The sequence below is a fragment of the Homo sapiens genome, chromosome 5 (assembly GCF_000001405.40).
Source record: "Homo sapiens chromosome 5, GRCh38.p14 Primary Assembly".
Taxonomy (NCBI): domain Eukaryota; kingdom Metazoa; phylum Chordata; class Mammalia; order Primates; family Hominidae; genus Homo; species Homo sapiens.
This window is the reverse complement of record NC_000005.10, coordinates 42,625,774-42,643,758: the sequence shown is the minus strand read 5'-3', so window position 1 is coordinate 42,643,758 and position 17,985 is coordinate 42,625,774. Positions and strand designations below refer to the sequence as shown.

Below are 17,985 nucleotides of genomic sequence, written 5' to 3'. Positions count from 1 at the left end.
TTCAGATATTCTGGGCTGTTTTCAGGGAAAAAAAAAAAGGCATAATGTATTATCTTGGCCACCTTTCCCTTCCATTCATGCTAATATTTTGCCAATTTCTCTCTACAAAAATGGCTGAAGACAAGAGTAGAGACTAGACATCTAAAAATCCATGCACATATGCAAATCCTCTAGGGAAACCACTGTGGATATTTGATGAAGGATGTGTGCTCATATCCAGGGAGAGGTCGTGTAGACATTAACAATCTTAGTGTTTAGACACTGTGGTAGACTCATGCCCACACCATTGAGCATAGTTTGGAAGTGCCATGATCACCAGCAGCATGTATTCCTTTAGTCATTAGTGTCCATTGAGGTAGTTAACAGGTAATCCCTTGAAAAGAAGTTCCCTGGTCAAGTATTTCCAGGAAATGTTGTGATTCTTTTCTTTCTCTTGGACATTTATAATGCACACAAACAGATGAGAGCCTCTGAGAGGTTCTGCAATAAAGAAGCCTATTTAGCTTCAGCTTTGCATCTCCTAGCATTTCCTAAGTGCTGGAGAAATGGTGCGTTAAATGCGTTAAGTTAAGCCAACATTCTTTATAGGATAATCAGTTGTGGCGTGAATTTTTCCCTTCAATGCATATGTGTAATGGGTTGAACTGTATCCTCCAAAGATATGCCCAAGTCCTAAACCTTGGTACCTGTGAATATGACTTTAGTTGGAAAAAGGGTCTTTACAGATATAATTAAGGTATAATTGAGCTCCTTGTGCATTAGGATAGGCTCTACATTCAGTGATAGGTGTCCTTAAAAGAGACAGAAAGGAGACCAATCGCAGACATAGGGAAGGTCAAGTGAAGACAGAACCAGAGATTGGAATGATGTTTCTGCAAATCAAAGAACACCAAAGATTGCTGGCAGTCACCAAAATCTAGGAGAGAGGCATGGAACAGAATTTCCTCAGAGCCTCCAGAAGGAACCAATCCTGGTCATACCTTGACTTTGGACTTCTGGCCTCCAGAACTGTGACAGAATACATTTCTCTTATTAAGCCACCAAGTTTGTGGTAATTTGTTATAGCAGCTTAGGAAACAAATATGAAATGCCTAAGCTCCAGCAATGAAGTTCAATTCAGTACATTTGAGGTAGAGGTCCTGCATGTGTATTTACTGAAAATACTTATCCACAGATGATTCTGATGGGCATACCTACCTAGAACCACCACTTCAGGATAGTGGTTTCAGCCTGTCTATACTAACAACCCACTAGGATTTTAGGTTCTTGCTGTGGTCTACACTCACCAACGAAGTCCCCTGACTTGTTTCTCTCTCTCTCCCTCTTTTTTGTAGAGAAAGTAATCATAAAGAAAATATTTTTGTGTTATGCCTTGAGGGGAACATAAGAACTGGTTATTAGTTATAGGTAGTGGTGATGGTCAAGGTTGTGCAAGTAGAAGGAGGTGATTATGGGCTCAAAGAGGACAGAAAGAAATCAACATTTGTGAAATTCATTGTACGGATCTTACTAGAAGGGCGTTCTCATTCTGCAGCCTGAACAAGACTGGGCTTGATTTCTTTTGGTAATTTGGGAAATCTTGGTCTTCTATGACTTCTTGCCCTTCTAATCGTCTTCTGATCCTTCTGAATTTAGTTTCTATCTTTCCATCATCGGCCTGAAAAGGCTGCTTTTTTCATCCTCAGATTCTTTTCATCTGAAAACATATGATTTCTTCTCCTAATTATTTTCTTTATAGCAGTCTGCCTCCTTAGGTATCTTTTTGGTGTACTTTTCCCTCTCAGTCTTTTGGTTTTTCCAAGAGGAGCCAGGCATATCTCTTTGGTCCTGTCAATAACTAATGACTAATCAATTAGGCACCCACTCTTTAAAAACCTCAAGAAGCAGAGGTTTGCAGGACAGGAAGGAATTGGTGTATATTCCTCTGGTTTTCTGGTTTGTCAGCTTCTCACAGTGAGGCTGACTATACTCTACAAGCTTATTTACTCATGGATTAACCAAGATTATTCAATTAAAAACTAAATTTTAGGGAAGTTACCCAAGACAAATTTTACTTAATCCAAAATATTTGCCCCAGCTGGTCTTTCACAGAAAAAGCAAAGTAGGTGGGGTAGAATGTAGAGAGAGATTGGGGGTAGCGATAGTGAGGGCAGGATGAGATAGTGTGGGAAATATTCCCTTCCCTCCCTTAGGCACCACAGAATTCCAGATCTAGTTCGCCCAGCCAGCCATGGTTCACCAGCAGCATGAATCACACAGGCTGCCCTGGGCTAGCCTGGACACCTAACCATTAGTTACTGTATTATATATTGCGGTTGTTAAAATTGATCATCAAAGCCTCCTTATTCCTGAACTTCTAAAGCAAAAATAAATTTTAAGTTAGAGACTCTAGGGGCTCGTACATATATACAAGAACCCCACCTATACAAACATTCTGTATTTATTGACAAATGACTCATCCAGGCAGTAAGTGTTATAAAGCTTAGAGAAAAGAGCTTTGGATTGAGTTTAGTCCAGTAAGGGGTGAAGGTGCTCTTTGAAAAAGACACCTTTTTCAAAGGTGTACACTTTTAGCTCTGTGTACAGCCTCATCTTTTTTGTACCTAAGGAGAGTCTATCAGGGGAAGGAGGAAGGAAAGGAAACAACATTTTACCAAGTGCCAAACAATGTGTACATTTTATTTGATCATGACTAAGGGCAGCCCTGAGTAAAGAATTTGAAGCAATTAATTGCACTACCTTTCTGTTTGAGTGCCTGCCTTTCCTGTCTTGGTGCCATGGGACTGGCACTGGTAATTTGGAGTATGGCGAGCCTCTCAGCCCTACCTGCTGCTCCAGTTGTAAAGTGACAACCTAAGCTATCTGTTGCCTGGACTAAAGCAGAACATAAAAGCAGGGATTCTCAAACGAGGGTCTTTCAGGACGCAAAATTAAGTTTTGTATTTTTTGGTAGAAATACATGGCAATTAAAAGATACACACACACACACACATATATGATATGGAATAAGATGTTAGGTATTTTATTATATATGAAACACTGAATATTTATTTTTAAATTTATTTTTTTTCCAAATTTGGCTGTATAGGCCTTCTCTGGGATTTGAAACATAAACTATTCAAATACAAAATACGCTACCTAGATGAAGGATTTTTCTTATCCTTCCAGAAAAATATACATGAATTTATATAGGAGATAAGTTTTGGTGAATGAGGTGAAGGGGTAAGTAGGGTCAGTGTCCCAGGCAAGTCCTACTCTTCCAGGAGTAGTAATAATAATAGCAGTAGTAGTAACAGCAGCAGCAGCAGTAAAAATAATAAAATACCTAACACCTTATTCCATATCTTCCATATCTACTTTGTGCTAGGAACTTTTCTATGTTCCTACTCGCTCCTCACAATGACCCTTTGAGATAGATGTTAGTATCTCCATTTCGAGATGGATAAATTGAAGCTTGTGGGGTATTAGCAGTATGTTAGGTCATACTTAAGAGACAACTCATGGTTCCCAGCTCCCCAAACCCCAAAGTCCTCATCACATAGCCTGTGGGACCAATTGAAACCAGTAAGAGAGTTTGCCACAACCACTGATAAGAATAAATACCCACAAGACTTTTGCAGGACCTTCTTGTTTGCTTTTCCCACATGAGATAGAAAAGTCCCAAAAGAGAAAATGCATCTACTGCTCTCAGATTTGAGAAGGCAGTTAGGTTACTTATCTGTGTCAGTATTAGTGTTGAGGAAAAGGATGCCAAACTGCCAAACTCAAACACTATGAAATCTATGCTAACACCTCTCCCTCCACACTTCCCTTCTTCAATTGCTCTCAGGTAATTTCTGGAACTTAGTATGATATTCACCTAATAAACATTATTTAAGCTTCTACTTTTTGTAAGGCCCTGGCTAAACCAAGGGTGGAGGAGCAGAGCATATAAAGATGAGAAAGGTTCAGTCCCTGCCCTCAAAGAACTTACAATCTAGAAAGGAAGATACCATGTGTACACAAGCCACTGAAGTTCAATGCAAGAGATGCATAACTTCAAAAGTTTTTGGAATTCACAGAAAGAAAAACTTCTGTCAGAGTAAGGATGGCATCAGGTGTCTCTCCATTTCTCTGAGGATAACCCTGGCAGAGTTTCATGGTAGCAGGTACACAAAACCATATGTGCTGACAACACAGAGCATAGATGGATTTGCTACAAATATTGGCTTTCACAATAATTCAAATTCGGGGTTTTAAATTCTATTTATTAAGGCATAGTAGGAGATAAAAAAAGAAAAAAGGCTGCTTTTCCATGACAGATAAAAATAAAAAGATAACCTGCGGCAGTGAAGACATGAATGACATTTGAGAATATGTCAAGGACTCAGAAATTGTCTCTGAAAATACATCTATTATGATTCTGTGAGGTTTCAGGTTTATGAGTCTTTAAAGTGCACAATTTCCTAAAGAGAGAATCTTTTGTCTTTATTCTTCAGCAAAAATTCAGTGATAGCAGTTAGTTTATAAAAGATCTACAAACTACAATGTCAAGTGTGTTCTCAAACTGGAGCTGTATGGTGCATTGATCCTTCATTAAATAAATATTATGCAATAATGATGACACGTCTCAGACAGTCCAGCTGCAAATAATTGCCCTTTCCATCCATCACCAAGCATTTACAGGTGTTCAGTCTTCATTGGATGGAGTATCTTTAATAATACTGAATGATATGTCCACATTGATTAGCCGATACATTGAATCCTTACTTTACACTATTACAGTCGTGAGCCACACAATGATGTTTTGGTCAATGACAAAGGTGACGTTTCCGTTGCCTCTTCAAACATAACCATAATACCTCTTCAAGCCTCTTTAAACATAACCATAATAATTTTATATGTCATTAGAAATAAAAATTATTTATTTTTTTACACAAGAAAATATGCTCCCTGTAACAGTTTAATATTTATGAATGCAAGCACAAACATACAAACCATTAAATGTATATATCAATGCTGCAAACAGAAATACAGTGCAACCCACATATGTAATTTAAAATTTTCAACTATAGTCTTGTGCTGTATAATGATGTTTTGGTCAACGACAGACTGCATATATGATAGTCGTCCCATACGATTACAATACTATATGTTTACTGTACATTTTCTATGTTTAGATACATAAATACTTACCATTGTGTTACAATTGCTGAGAATATTCAGTACAGTAACATGCTGTATAGATTTGTAGCCTAGGAACAATAGACTATATCATAAAGGCTGGTGTGCAGCAGACTGTACCATCCAGGTTTGTGTGAGTACACTTCATGTTTACACAATGATGAAATTACCTAATTATGCATTTCTTAGAACCTATCCCCACTGTTAAGTGATGCATGACTGTAATTTATTTCAGAAGAGTTTACTATGAAGCAAATTTATAAAGTGAACACTGTATTGTCATTAATGCCAATTATGAAATTGAAGATAACAGGAGACTAAAAGAGGGTAACCAGTACAAACTTGATGATTAGTTCCTTAAAATACTATATTATACTGAGGGGGCAGTATAGTATTTGGGATGCTGAGGGGGGCAGATCACGAGGTCAGGAGTTCGAGACCAGCCTGACCAACACGGTGAAATCCCGTCTCTACTAAAAATAAAAAAAATTTGCCGGGCGTGGTGGTGCACGACTGTAATCCCAGCTACTCAGGAGGCTGAGGCAGGCAAATTGCTTGAACCTGGGAGGCGGAGAGTGCAGTGAGCCGAAATCGCACCACTGCACTCCAGCCCAGGCGACAAAGCGAGACTCCGTCTCAAACAAACAAACAAACAAACAACCATATTATAGCTGCTGGTGGGAATGTAAATTAGTTCAGCCACTGTGGAAAACAGTGTGGAGATTTCTCAAGGAAATTAAAACAGAACTACCATTCAACCTAGCAATCCCATAACTGGGTAGATACCCAAAGAAAAATAAATCATTCTACAAAAAGGACACACGCACTCATATATTCATCACAGGACTATTCATAACAGCAAAAACATAAAATCAACCTAGATGCGCATTGATGGTGGACTGGATAAAGAAAATGTGGTACACGTATACCATGAAAAGCTATGCAGCCATAAAAAAGAACAAAATCATGTCCTTTGCAGCAACATGGATGTATGTGGAAGTCATCATCATAAGTGAATTAACGCAGGAACAGAAAACGAAATACCATATGTTCTTACTTATAAGCAGGAGCTAAACACTGGATAAACATGGGTATAAAGATGGCAACAGTAGACACAGGGGACTACTAGAGTGGTGAAGATTGGGAGCGGGGTGTGAGTTGAAAAACATCAAGTAATATGCTCAATACCTGGGTAAGGGGATTATTTGTACACCAAACCTCAGAGACATGCAATTGACCCATGTAACAAACCTGCACGTGTACCCCCTAAATCTAAAATAAGAGTTGAAAAAAAAGAATTAATTGCTTTGCTGTTTAGAATGGTTTGGCATACTTTTTTTTAGAGGGCCAGAGAGTAAATATTTTAGGTTTGTGGACCTATGCTCTGTGTCTTAGCTACTCCACTCTGCCACTGTAGCCCTAAAGTAAACACAATCTGAAACAAACAGGCATGGGTGTGGTCCAATAAAACTTTATTTACAAAAACAAGCATCTGGTCTGAGGGCCTGTTTGCCAACCCTTGGTTTAAATATTTGTTGACCTAAAGAAAAAAAACACAGAGGTAGCTTACCTTGTACCAGATATTGTGAATTATATGCAAATAAATTTCCTATAAATCATACTATATTTTCAAAAGTCCTTTGAAAGTTGTGTAACATTTTTTCCTAAGTAATAAGTTCTTTGTTTAGCAAATGATCACCTCTTGTTATTTTTGGCTTAAATATATATTACCTTATATTGCATGTATTTGCCATGAGACACACAATTACTTGAACTACTATTTAATGGTAACTACATTTGAACGCTTTGTCAAAGCCATAAATCTTTTTGTAAATGTCTGCTTTCTCAGTGTGTAGGTTAAGTTGTATTAAAGTCTGGTTACACCTAAATAATAAATTCAAGATATTTTCCCAGTGCATAAATGTACATTATTTAAAAAAACTGTTCCCCACTAGGAGGAGCCAGTGTGAACAAAGGGCTTTTCTGGACTTCAGGTATCCTTTCCTGGTGAGAGACTCATGTGTGCAGAAGCTAGGGCTCTCTCGGGAGCAGTGATTAGAGTTGGTTTTGAAGCTGTGGAATTAAGCAGCAAATCAGTGGGCTACAAGCTAGAAGAACTCAAAGGTCACAACCAAAAAGGTCACAACCAACTGTTGGATGCTTTAACTTTCAAGAGTTACTAAAAAGTGTTCACCACCCATTGGGGTCACCCAGGGTGAAAGAATGTTTGTCTTGAATTATCCCTTTAAAAAATGTGTGTTATGCTTTGGCAAAGAAACCATGCTAGAAGTCAGTATATAGAGTGTACATAGGCATACTGAAAATTTAAGTAAGATGCTTAATCATCCTTCTTAGGCTCTAATTTTTTTTTTTTTTTTTTTTTTTTGAAACGGGGTCTCGCTCTGTCGCCCAGGCTGGAGTCCAGTGGTGAGATCTCGGCTCACTGCAAGCTCCGCCTCCCGGGTTCACGCCATTCTCCTGCCTCAGCCTCCCAAGTAGCTGGGACTACAGGCGCCCGCCACCACGCCCGGCTAATTTTTTGTATTTTTAGTAGAGACGGGATTTCACTGTGTTAGCCATGATGGTCTCCATCTCCTGACCTCGTGATCCGCCCACCTCGGCCTCCCAAAGTGCTGGGATTACAGGCATGAGCCACCGCGTCTGGCCTAAAATTTTTTTTACTCACTTCTAAGATTAAGGCTTTTAGAGACCTATGCCCACAAACAGATTTCTAACTATTTTCTTATTGTTTGAGTTCCAAAAGAAATAGAAGACCTCAGTATATGTTTACAACCAGAAGGGACCTGCATTCCAAAGGTTTCATTAATAGTGCCTAAGTCAATGCACAGAGAGAAACAGGTCTCTTGTAAACTAAGTGGTAAATATCTACTTACCACTTATCATTGCTCAGAAAATTGCTTGAAGTTGAAGGGGGATAAAAAAGTTAAGACCAAATATTTCTTTCAAAAAATTCTTACCTCTCAACGATTTTGTGTGAAAACAAAGCAGTATATAATAAAGCACTAACGTGTGAAACTAATGGCAGTCATTATCTGAGTATTTCAGGCTGGAAAAAAGTCACTGCAAAGTCCATATAAGTAAAGACTGTTGTTTTAATTATTAATATAGTTGTATGCTTTAATTAATATTTTACTTACCTAGGGACAGATACAACTCATTGCATTGGCAATATCTTCTTCACTCTCTTGGGCTGTTAAGAGACTTAAGCTGTTTTCTCTGTACCTCCATTTCTTCTTACATAAAGTGCATAATTTAACCTGCCTTTCTCTTATTTCAGAGAACAAGGAAGGGGGATAAATAATAACCCTAGGGTGCTTGGTGTTATCTGGAGATTAGTGCTTATGTGAGTCAGGAAAGGCTGAGCACTAGGTTGGGTACAAGAGAGAGCCAACATAAACACTGTTTCCTTAAAAGGGATTGCAAGAATCTATGTTTACTTACTAAATTGTTTATTGAATAGTTTATAAACAAGTAGACTGTCAATAATTTAATGTCAGCTTCCATGTCAGAACCCAGTATCAAATCTGCTCTCTACTGCTTGTCCAAAGCTCAAGTTTTTTTTTTTTTGTTTTTGGTAACCAATAAAGACTGTGCATTCACTCTAAGATGCCATCTCTGCCAGGACACATTTCCCTTATGTTATACTTAATTTAGTTAAATTATCAGCTAATAAGTTCTTGATGTTGAAAATATCTGATAAAAAAGAATGAAAGCAGAGAGGCAGTGGTGGGCCGCAGGCAGGAGTAGGACTATTTATGATTCCCTTGGCAGTTGAACTGATATGTCCTGCAACGTTATCCAAGACCGACCCATGACACTAGGTCCCTGACCTGAAGGAAAGGTTCTGTGGAAGGCTTTTCGGAAAGGCATAGTATTTATACTCAGCAATAGACAAGATAAAATTCTCCTCCTCTATATCTTTATCACTCTCCTTTCATAAATGACTGCTGAACAGCATGGAGTAAACTCCCTGGTAGCCAAAGAGTACTTAAGATACTGGGGAGGGCTTGGCTTCTGTTTATTTTTTGCAGTGTGTGTGTGTGTGTGTGTGTGCAAAATTCAATAACCATCCGTGAAATACTCAGCATATGTCAAGTATGTAGCAGGTACTGTAGGATATAATGATGTGTAAGATATTGTCCCTATCTTTAGAGATAGTTCAATTTATTAAGGGGGGGTGCAAAAAGCACTACATTTGGTTGAACCAAAAGACATAATGATTTTAGGGTCCAATATAGAGTTGACATGGGCAATTTCATACGGTTCAATTTAATACACATTGGAATAAAATAAGAGCCATAAGAGAATACAATAAATACCACGTAAGCTTACTGTAGGGCCAGATACTATTCTAACTACTTTAAATATATCAACACTTATAATTCTCACAACCATCTTATGAGGTAGGTACTATTAGCATCTTTATTTTAGAGATGAAAAAAAAAAGACAAAGAGATCATAAAATTTAGAGAAGATCATACAGGAAGTAAGCAGTAGAACTGGGTCTTAAACTAAAGCTTACTCCAGAGGCTGAGTACTTAAACTGCGGTGCTACGCTCTCTCTCCTTGCGAGAGAGGAAAAAAAGGCTACAATTCTAAAGCAAAAGCAGAATCCTCTTGTGGGAACTGGGCAAAGCTTTGTGGATAAAGTTGTATTTGAAATATGGCTCACAGGACAAAATCTATGAAGGATTGTTTCAGACTGAGAGGAAAGAAGAGGAAATTACTGGTAAAAGGGTCATTGTAAATGGATATAATGAAGCAAGACTGCAGGGAATATAAACATAGGAGTACATAAGAGAAAAGGGAGATAAGGCTAGAAAAGTGTGTAAGATGAATGCTGTTGAATTTTCTGAATGCCAGGGAGATAAGTTTATTCATAATTTAGAAAAGAGTTTGGAGCTACTATAGATGATTGGGCAGATGAATCACTGAATCAGAGGTAGGCAGGAAGAATTAATCAAGAACAGAGTATGGTGGCTTGGAATAGGGAAAAATAGGAGATAGGAAGAAAAATTAGGAAGCTAGGACAAGAGTCCAGCTAAGAATGTATACGGACCTGGACAAGCAAGATGAAGTTTACTATATTAAATTTTTGTCCTGCAAAAGTTTTTATTGAAGTTAATGTAACTCACAATTGTTTGAATGTTTGTGAACTTCTAGCATTCAAGCAATTCATTTGCTTGCCTATCTAATATGATAATATTTTGGAATCCTTTCAAAACTTGCCTCTGATCTCAGCCATTAATACTCATGTTCAAATGCCTATTTTCATGAAAACTTAGACTAATTTATGCTCCAATAAGCAGTCAATAAAACTTGCTCCAGTTGGATATTCATTTCATTTTGAGGTAAAAATGCTATCAATCACAAAATTTACACTTTTATAGGAATACAAGACAAATTCAGTGAAAAGCAATGACTTTTAAAAATAGGGGAAAAATCTCCCTCAGAAAGATGTGCAATCATCTAATTTTTTTCTCTATATGTGTTTAAGAAAGTCTTACATGTTTGGCCCAACAAATCTTCTGCCAATAAATAATCATGACAGAGAAATAAAATTCTTGAAAAACTACAAAGAACGTGCAACCACAGCACCCTAGTTGAGGTGCCTGTCTTATTTGGGAATACTAAAAATGTTTTGCTTTTCTCTAGGAGATTGTAACTCTTCCTATTCTTCTCCCCAGAAATATAAAGAAGTTTTCTTTGTAGTAAAATTATAGCATTACTTCTTTAAAATATAAAAAAGTTGTTTGGATATCTCTTTAAACTGTAAACTCCCTTAACATTCTTCTTATCCTAAGTCTGTGTTTTTGCCCATATTTACCCTGGGCTGACCTTTGCATAAGTGGAGTATGCTGCTACCACGTATGTGAACTGAAAGGTCCTTTTGGGGTTACTAACCAAAAACAGGTCTTTTTTCCCCCAGAAAATGTTTCTTAAGAAACTAATCTGTGGAAGGCATGTTAGCATGTGCTCACTAACACAAAAATGCACATTCACATGGATTAAGACCTTTTGCCAGCACAGCAAAGCCCTAAGGGCTTACTTAGCAAATGTGACAGACAGTTTTTGGTGAGCAAGAGAAGAAAGAGGTTACAGCAAGAGGTGATTCTTTAGGTTGTGCATAGCATGGGTTAATTTTAGCTGGTCTGGTTTGACCATATGTGTCTCTCCAGAGCTACTGAAATATCATGACCTCTCTCAGACCAGCATGGAGAAGGGAGGGATTGCTTCAGGCCATGAGTATCAGGTTTTGACTGAAACTTAAAGGTGGGCAGGACTGATTTATATTTACAGAATCCAGGATGGGGTGGGAGGAAGATAGATTCGATGACATGAGCAGTGTACCAGAGGAGGGAAAATACAGTGTGCCTGGGGAATGGTAAGTAGCCTGAACTTACAAGCTGGGGTGGGTGTTCAGGGTCTTGGGAAAGGTTTGAAGTTTAATGTTTAGGTAGTAGGGAGAGCACTAAAGATATTTACTTAGAACATAAGAAAATTATTGTTGGCAGGGGAAGATAGATGCAAGGAAGGAGAGATGGGGCAGGGGGTGGAAGGAGAGAGGAGGGAGATGCTGCTAAATGGTCACTGCACTGCACTGACTGGTAGGAAGTTGTTCAACACATCCTCCATACCTAGAGGTTATATTTCAATGAGGCACAATGTTTGGGCTTCTTGGACCCAAGTATAAAGTAAAGGTAGCTTGGAGAGGGCAGTGGCATTTATTTTTTATGTTTGGTCAGTTCTGGCTAGGATTTGTCCTGACAGGGTTTTTATTTCATTTTTTCTTCCATGGGGCTTTGTTTTGAGTCTGAGAACTTAGAAAAGTACACACAGGAAACGTGTAAATTATAATTGTATATTCTCAGGACATTTCATGTTAAACACTAACTTTTCATATTAAACACTAACTTTTCATGTGAAATTATCTCTTTAGGGAGAATGTGAGCTCCTTGATGTCAAGGCAGTATCTTACTCTGTCTCCCTCAGGGCACACAGCTAAAGACTGAGTACACAGCAGACTGTTAAATATTTGTGACACGGTAACAATGTATACAGTGACAGAGTGAGGTGATGTGAGCACTTGAGTCTGTCACATCTGGATGTGAGGCTCGTGATGATAAAAGGCAATGATATGTTCAAGCATGTGCACTATGATAGGTGCCCACTGTTACAGACACTGATATAGGTTACTTTAGCCAGTCGTTCCTGGGACAGAGAGCAGGTGACTTTTGATAAGAAAAAGCTGGAAAGATAGGGGAAGTCAGTATCTATGTGACTTACCACATATGAATGATAATTAGCTAGTCGTCTTACGTATCATGAAGACAGGAAATCAACATATGCCAAATGACTGGTAGGAAGTTGTTCAACACATCCTCCATACCTAGAGGCTGTATTTCAACAAGACACAATGTTTACGCTTCTTAGACCCTGTGACATACAGAACCAAACTGAATCTGACGGCCTTGGGCACACTTTCTCAAGACTCCTTGAGACTGTGAATACTGGTGATATGGACAGGAGACAGGGAAACACTGGGTAGAAGAGGGTAGTTCCTGGGCAAAGGCCCCACCCTCAAGCCTGAAGACCTGCAGCCCTAAATGGGAACAGGCATTTCCGTTTTCATGTCCAAAAAGCTACCTTTTGGCCCAAAACACCCCCTATCCTGCACTCATATAAGTAAAGAAAATTACTTAGAGAAATCCTACTGCCACTTTGGGGGACAGTGGAGGGCAAAGTATTATGTTTGTGTCAGGAGGATGGTTTCAATGTGAAGCATGTACCATTAGTAACACATTTTCAACTGATTACTTCTCATTTCCTTACAGAATATAAAGCACATAACTCATCTGTTGAGTGAAAAAAGGCTTTGGAATATACTGGCTGGGAAACCCAAACAGAACCAAACAGCCACTTCTTTTACAACCTCTGTGTTAATTAGGGAGCAGCTTAACATGTCAGATGCTTCTTAAACAGGAGGGCTATAAAGGATTTGTGGTCTGGCACAACTGACAATTGAATGACAGTTGTTAAAAACAGTACCAGCTCTCCTTTTTGGTCACCTCCAAGGAAATAATGTTAAAATCTCACATTGGAAATTAATTCTGCAATTTAGTCATAAAATTCAAATTATGATTTCGTGACTCTAGAATAACAACAAGAATAGCAATATCTTAACTGATTTAGGTACACTGTCTTCCCTTCCCTTATTGCATAATATGGACTCTAGCATATACTTCCACTGATGAAAAATATCCATCCCTAAAATTTAATTAAACAAGTACCTACTACTATGGATCAGAATTTTTTTAGGAGATGTAAGGGATTTAGAAGAAGCATAAAGTTTAGGCTTTGCCTTAAAGTTCAATAGAATTAATTCATTCATGCAGTCCACACAATCTGGTGAGTTCTATATGCAGGGCTAACACACACACTAAAATGTCAGGAGGCAAACGCTATCATGTTGTAAAGGACAAAGTTCCATGGAAGCAGAGAAGGCAGAATGTTGTTCAGGACTAGAGAATTTGGAGACGCTTCCCCACAGAGTTGATGGTGGGGTTCTGTCTTGTGGTTGAAGAGGAGATTGTCAAAGGACCAGCGGGGAATGTGTAAAGTCATTTTAAGGTTAAGAAAGAGCTTACAATAAGGCATAATTTTGAAGCTTAAGGCAATTTGGTTGGAGAGACAAGTTTAACTTTCTACCAGTGTAAACCTTAGATAAATACTTCAAGATAATAATGAAAATAATTTTAAAAAGAATTTATAAAAAGAGGCAGTTTCCTAAATTCAATAAATAATTGTTGATCCATGATGTATCATTTCCTCTTTTTTCCTCCTTCATTAATTTGGCCTTACTTAACCTCCAAGCACAAGCAAAAAATAGAAAAAAAAGCAGCCTTGCACAGAAGTTGTATTAGTTTGTTTTCATTGCTATAAAAAAGTACCTGAGGCTGGGTAATTTATAAAGAAAAATGATTTAAATGGCTCACAGTTCTGCAGGCTGTATTAGCATCTGCTTCTGGTGAAAGCCTCAGGAAGCCTATAATCATGGTGAAGCGGAGCAGGTGTCTCACAGGGCGAGAGTGGGAGCAAGAGATTGAAGGGGGAGGTGCCACACACTTTTAAACAACCAGATCTCATGAGAACTCACTCATGGTGAGGACAGCACAAAGAGGAGGGTGCTAAACCATTCATGAGGAATCTGCCCACATGACCCAAACATCTCCTCCCAGTCTCCACTTCCAACATTGGGGATTACATGAGATTTGGAAGGGACAAACATCCAAACTATATCAGAAGTTAAAAAATAAATCCTTAAAAAATGTTTTGCTTGCCTATAAAATTTCAACTCAGTCACTATTCCAGTTACTACCATCCCAAATAAAATAGAGAAAGGATAGTAGCTTAATTACACTAAAACATGGAAAATATCATTGAAGGAAGAAAAAGGACTGAAATTCTTACTTGTCTTTAGGCCTGGATTAACACTTTGCAGACTCCAGGGTGCTCTGCTAAGGATAGCTGCTGTGGCTGAAACAGAAAGAGAAGAAAACCATTAGTCATCCCCATCAAAACAATCTGATATGACCCTGTGTAAACTAAAAACAAAATCCTCAGCTTCCCAAACCAACCGAATGGACCCCTTCTTGGCCAAGGGGACTCCAGAGAAAGGTTCCTGGCCACAATGGGAAGGCAGGTTGGATATACCTCCCCTTTGGAGTTTAGGCACAAGTGACCAGCATTAATGTTAAAGTAGAGATCATAAGACTGACTAAATAGACTCTTTGGGCAATAAGATACTAAATTATAAACAAGACCTTAGGCCATGCAAGGCAAGGGTTAAGTCACACCTATAGGCCATTAATCTTGCTAAACAGGTCATTTTGTGGCTGACTCTGACATAGCATCCTTATCTTAATTTAAATATTTCTTTTTGCTAACTCGAAGCTTCTGTACAGTTTTGTTCCTTTAACCAACTGCAGATTAAAGAATCTCTGAACCAAACTATGACCTGCAAGTCCCCACTTCAAGACATCCTGCCTTTTCAGAGTGAACCAATGTATACCTTCCATGTACTGATTTATGTCTTTGCCTGTAATTCCTGCCTCCCTGAAACATACAGAACCAAACTGAATCTGACGGCCTTGGGCACACTTTCTCAAGACTCCTTGAGACTGTGAATACTGGTGATATGGACAGGAGACAGGGAAACACTGGGTAGAAGAGGGTAGTTCCTGGGCAAAGGCCCCACCCTCAAGCCTGAAGACCTGCAGCCCTAAATGGGAACAGGCATTTCCGTTTTCATGTCCAAAAAGCTACCTTTTGGCCCAAAACACCCCCTATCGTGCACTCATATAAACTCTGAACCTGAGGTTCCAGAAGCAGACCAGCAGACCAACAGACCAGCACACCAGCAAGCCAGCTGACCAGCAGACAGATGGTGAAATGATGCGGCAGAGAGAGAGAGGGAAGAGGAACATCTGGACGCTGAGAGGAGCTTGCCTGGGGGAGGTTGGAGAAGAGTCCAGCCACTGGGCTGCCCGACTTCAGAGGAAGTTCACCTTCCCACTCCATCCCCACTTCCCACTCCCCATCCATCTTGCTGAGAGCCACCTCCACTACTCAATAAAACCTTGCACTCATCCTTCGAGCCCCTGTATGATCTGTTTTTTCTAGGACACTGGGCAAGAGCTTGGGATACAGAAAGCTGTCACACTGGCCCTCTGCCTTTGCTATAAGGCAGAGGGTCCATTGAGCTGATTAACACTCAAGCTGTCCGTGGACTGCAAAGCTGAAAGAACTTTGTAACACTGGGGTTGCAGGCACCCCACCCCTAGACACTACCTCGGGGCTAAGGGGCCAAGGGGCCAAGGCACTTGCCCCAGCCTTTGCACCTGACCGTCTGTATTCTCCCCCTAGGGGTTTGAGCAGTGGGGCAACTGAACAGGTGAGCCACATCCCTGTCGCAAGCTCTGTGAGAGGGATCAGGGAACTCGCTCATTTCAATGGGGCCACAGTCACTTATATTGGCTCAGAATAAATCTCTTTAAAATATTTTACAGTTTGATTTTTCTGCTAACACCTGTTATGGCATCATTTTCAAATGATAAAGTATGATTTCTCCTCTCATAATAATCCCCCTTTTAAAAATTAAAATTGCACCTAACCTCTAAAAAGAACTCACACAAATCACAGCAAATGAAAACCTGGTCTTAATTACTTTTGGTCTCACGCCTAGACACAGTAGGGAACAATTTTTTAAAAAAAGATTTCCTACATTATTTGAGTTTAAACTTGAATCTTATCTGTAAGAATGAAGAGAAATATAAATTCTTTTTAAACAGTATGAAAAAAAGTTCAGTAAAAAAAGTTTATTTTTAGAAATAAACATGTGAATGATCCTGGAAGTAGGGAGGGAATGAAGGGAGGTGAAAAGCTCAACATGAGAGAAACAGAACTTTATGGTGTGAGATGGTCCATAATTCATCCACTATAAACACAGTCGTAATTTGATTGACATTAGTAGTAGATGGCATAAAAAACAGGAAAAAATGAAAAATGATGAATGTAGTGTCACTCTACCTTGAAGTATTAGAGTGGGTTGCTTTGTAAGCATCCCAGCTAGAAAAGTATGCATCTCTTGTCTGGGCTTGGTGGTGAAAGGTGTTTCTCCAGAATTCCCCACATCTGATCACGTTACCTCTAAGTTATTCTTAGAGGGTCAGCATGGCTCAGGCCCACAGTAAACACTGAGTTTTACCTCCCAGTGAAACTACTGGTGATATTGTGAAATACATATTTGACCTTGTCTCCGTTTCTTGACACAGTTCCTAAAATCCTTCGAATCTCTGTAGTGATAAGTGTCTTTCGTATGCTAATGAGTTGACTGATGCCTGGGGGCTCCTGGAGAGCCTCAGGATGGGGCATGGTCACAGGAAAGACCAAGAGTTGATTAGAGGTTGAGACACTTCAGCCCCACTCTCCAACCTCAGGAAGGGGAGAGGGACTCAAGGTTAATTTGATCACCAGTGGCCAATGTCTTAATCCGAGAGATTCTGGATAGCTGAACACATGAAGATGCTGCACTCAGAGAGGTCATGGAAACTCTGCAACTCCAACCCACATACCTTACCCTATCCATCTCTTCATCTGTGTCCTTTGTAATATCCTTTCTAATAAGCTGGTACATGTAAGCAAGCTGTCTCAAATTATCAAACCGGAGGGGGAGGTTGTGGGAACACCAATTTACAGCTGACTGGCTAGAAGTATAGGTAACAACCTATTACTTGCAGTTGGCATCTGAAGTGGGGGACAGTATTGTTGGAATGAGCCGTAAACCTGTGGTTATCTGATGCTATTTCCAGGTAGATAGGTAGATTGTCAGAATTGAATTGAATTTGAGAACACCCAGTTGGTGTCCCACTGAAGAATCTGTTGGAGAATTTGTGTGGGGAGAGATTCCCACCGAGGACTAAGTTCCGATTTTTTATCTTGCCCAAATTCCTACCTAAGGGTTCTGGGGAGTCATGCCCTACAAACCATGGGTTCTCATCAGGATGGGTTTTATTTGACCTTGTATATTGTGACTTGCTTTTCAATATGACTCTGGCATAACATTATGAGACAAGGAAAAAATATTAGCCCCAAAGTATATTTCCTTGCCATGCCTTGAAATTGCCCTACAAAGTCTCTTATGGGAAAAATCCACATTCTATAGAGAATCCCCTTCCCCCTTTGTTTTCCTTCCTTCCTTCCCAGATCCAGGCAGTAATCAACTAAGAGCCAGGCACAGTT

At 39.3% G+C, this 17,985-nt stretch overlaps 1 protein-coding gene across 11 annotated transcripts in view; it reads right to left on the bottom strand.

The window, feature by feature from the left end:
• Positions 1–17,985, bottom strand: part of GHR (growth hormone receptor) — a 298,440-nt gene that overhangs the window by 78,120 nt on the left and 202,335 nt on the right. For 10 of the 11 annotated variants that reach the window (NM_000163.5, NM_001242400.2, NM_001242399.2 and 7 more), the window contains one exon: positions 14,656–14,721. The exons of the other annotated variant lie outside the window; for it this stretch is intronic. In NM_000163.5, coding sequence (NP_000154.1) covers positions 14,656–14,721 — 66 coding nt within the window. The remainder of the gene's footprint in view (positions 1–14,655; positions 14,722–17,985) is intronic. 11 annotated transcript variants of the gene reach the window in all.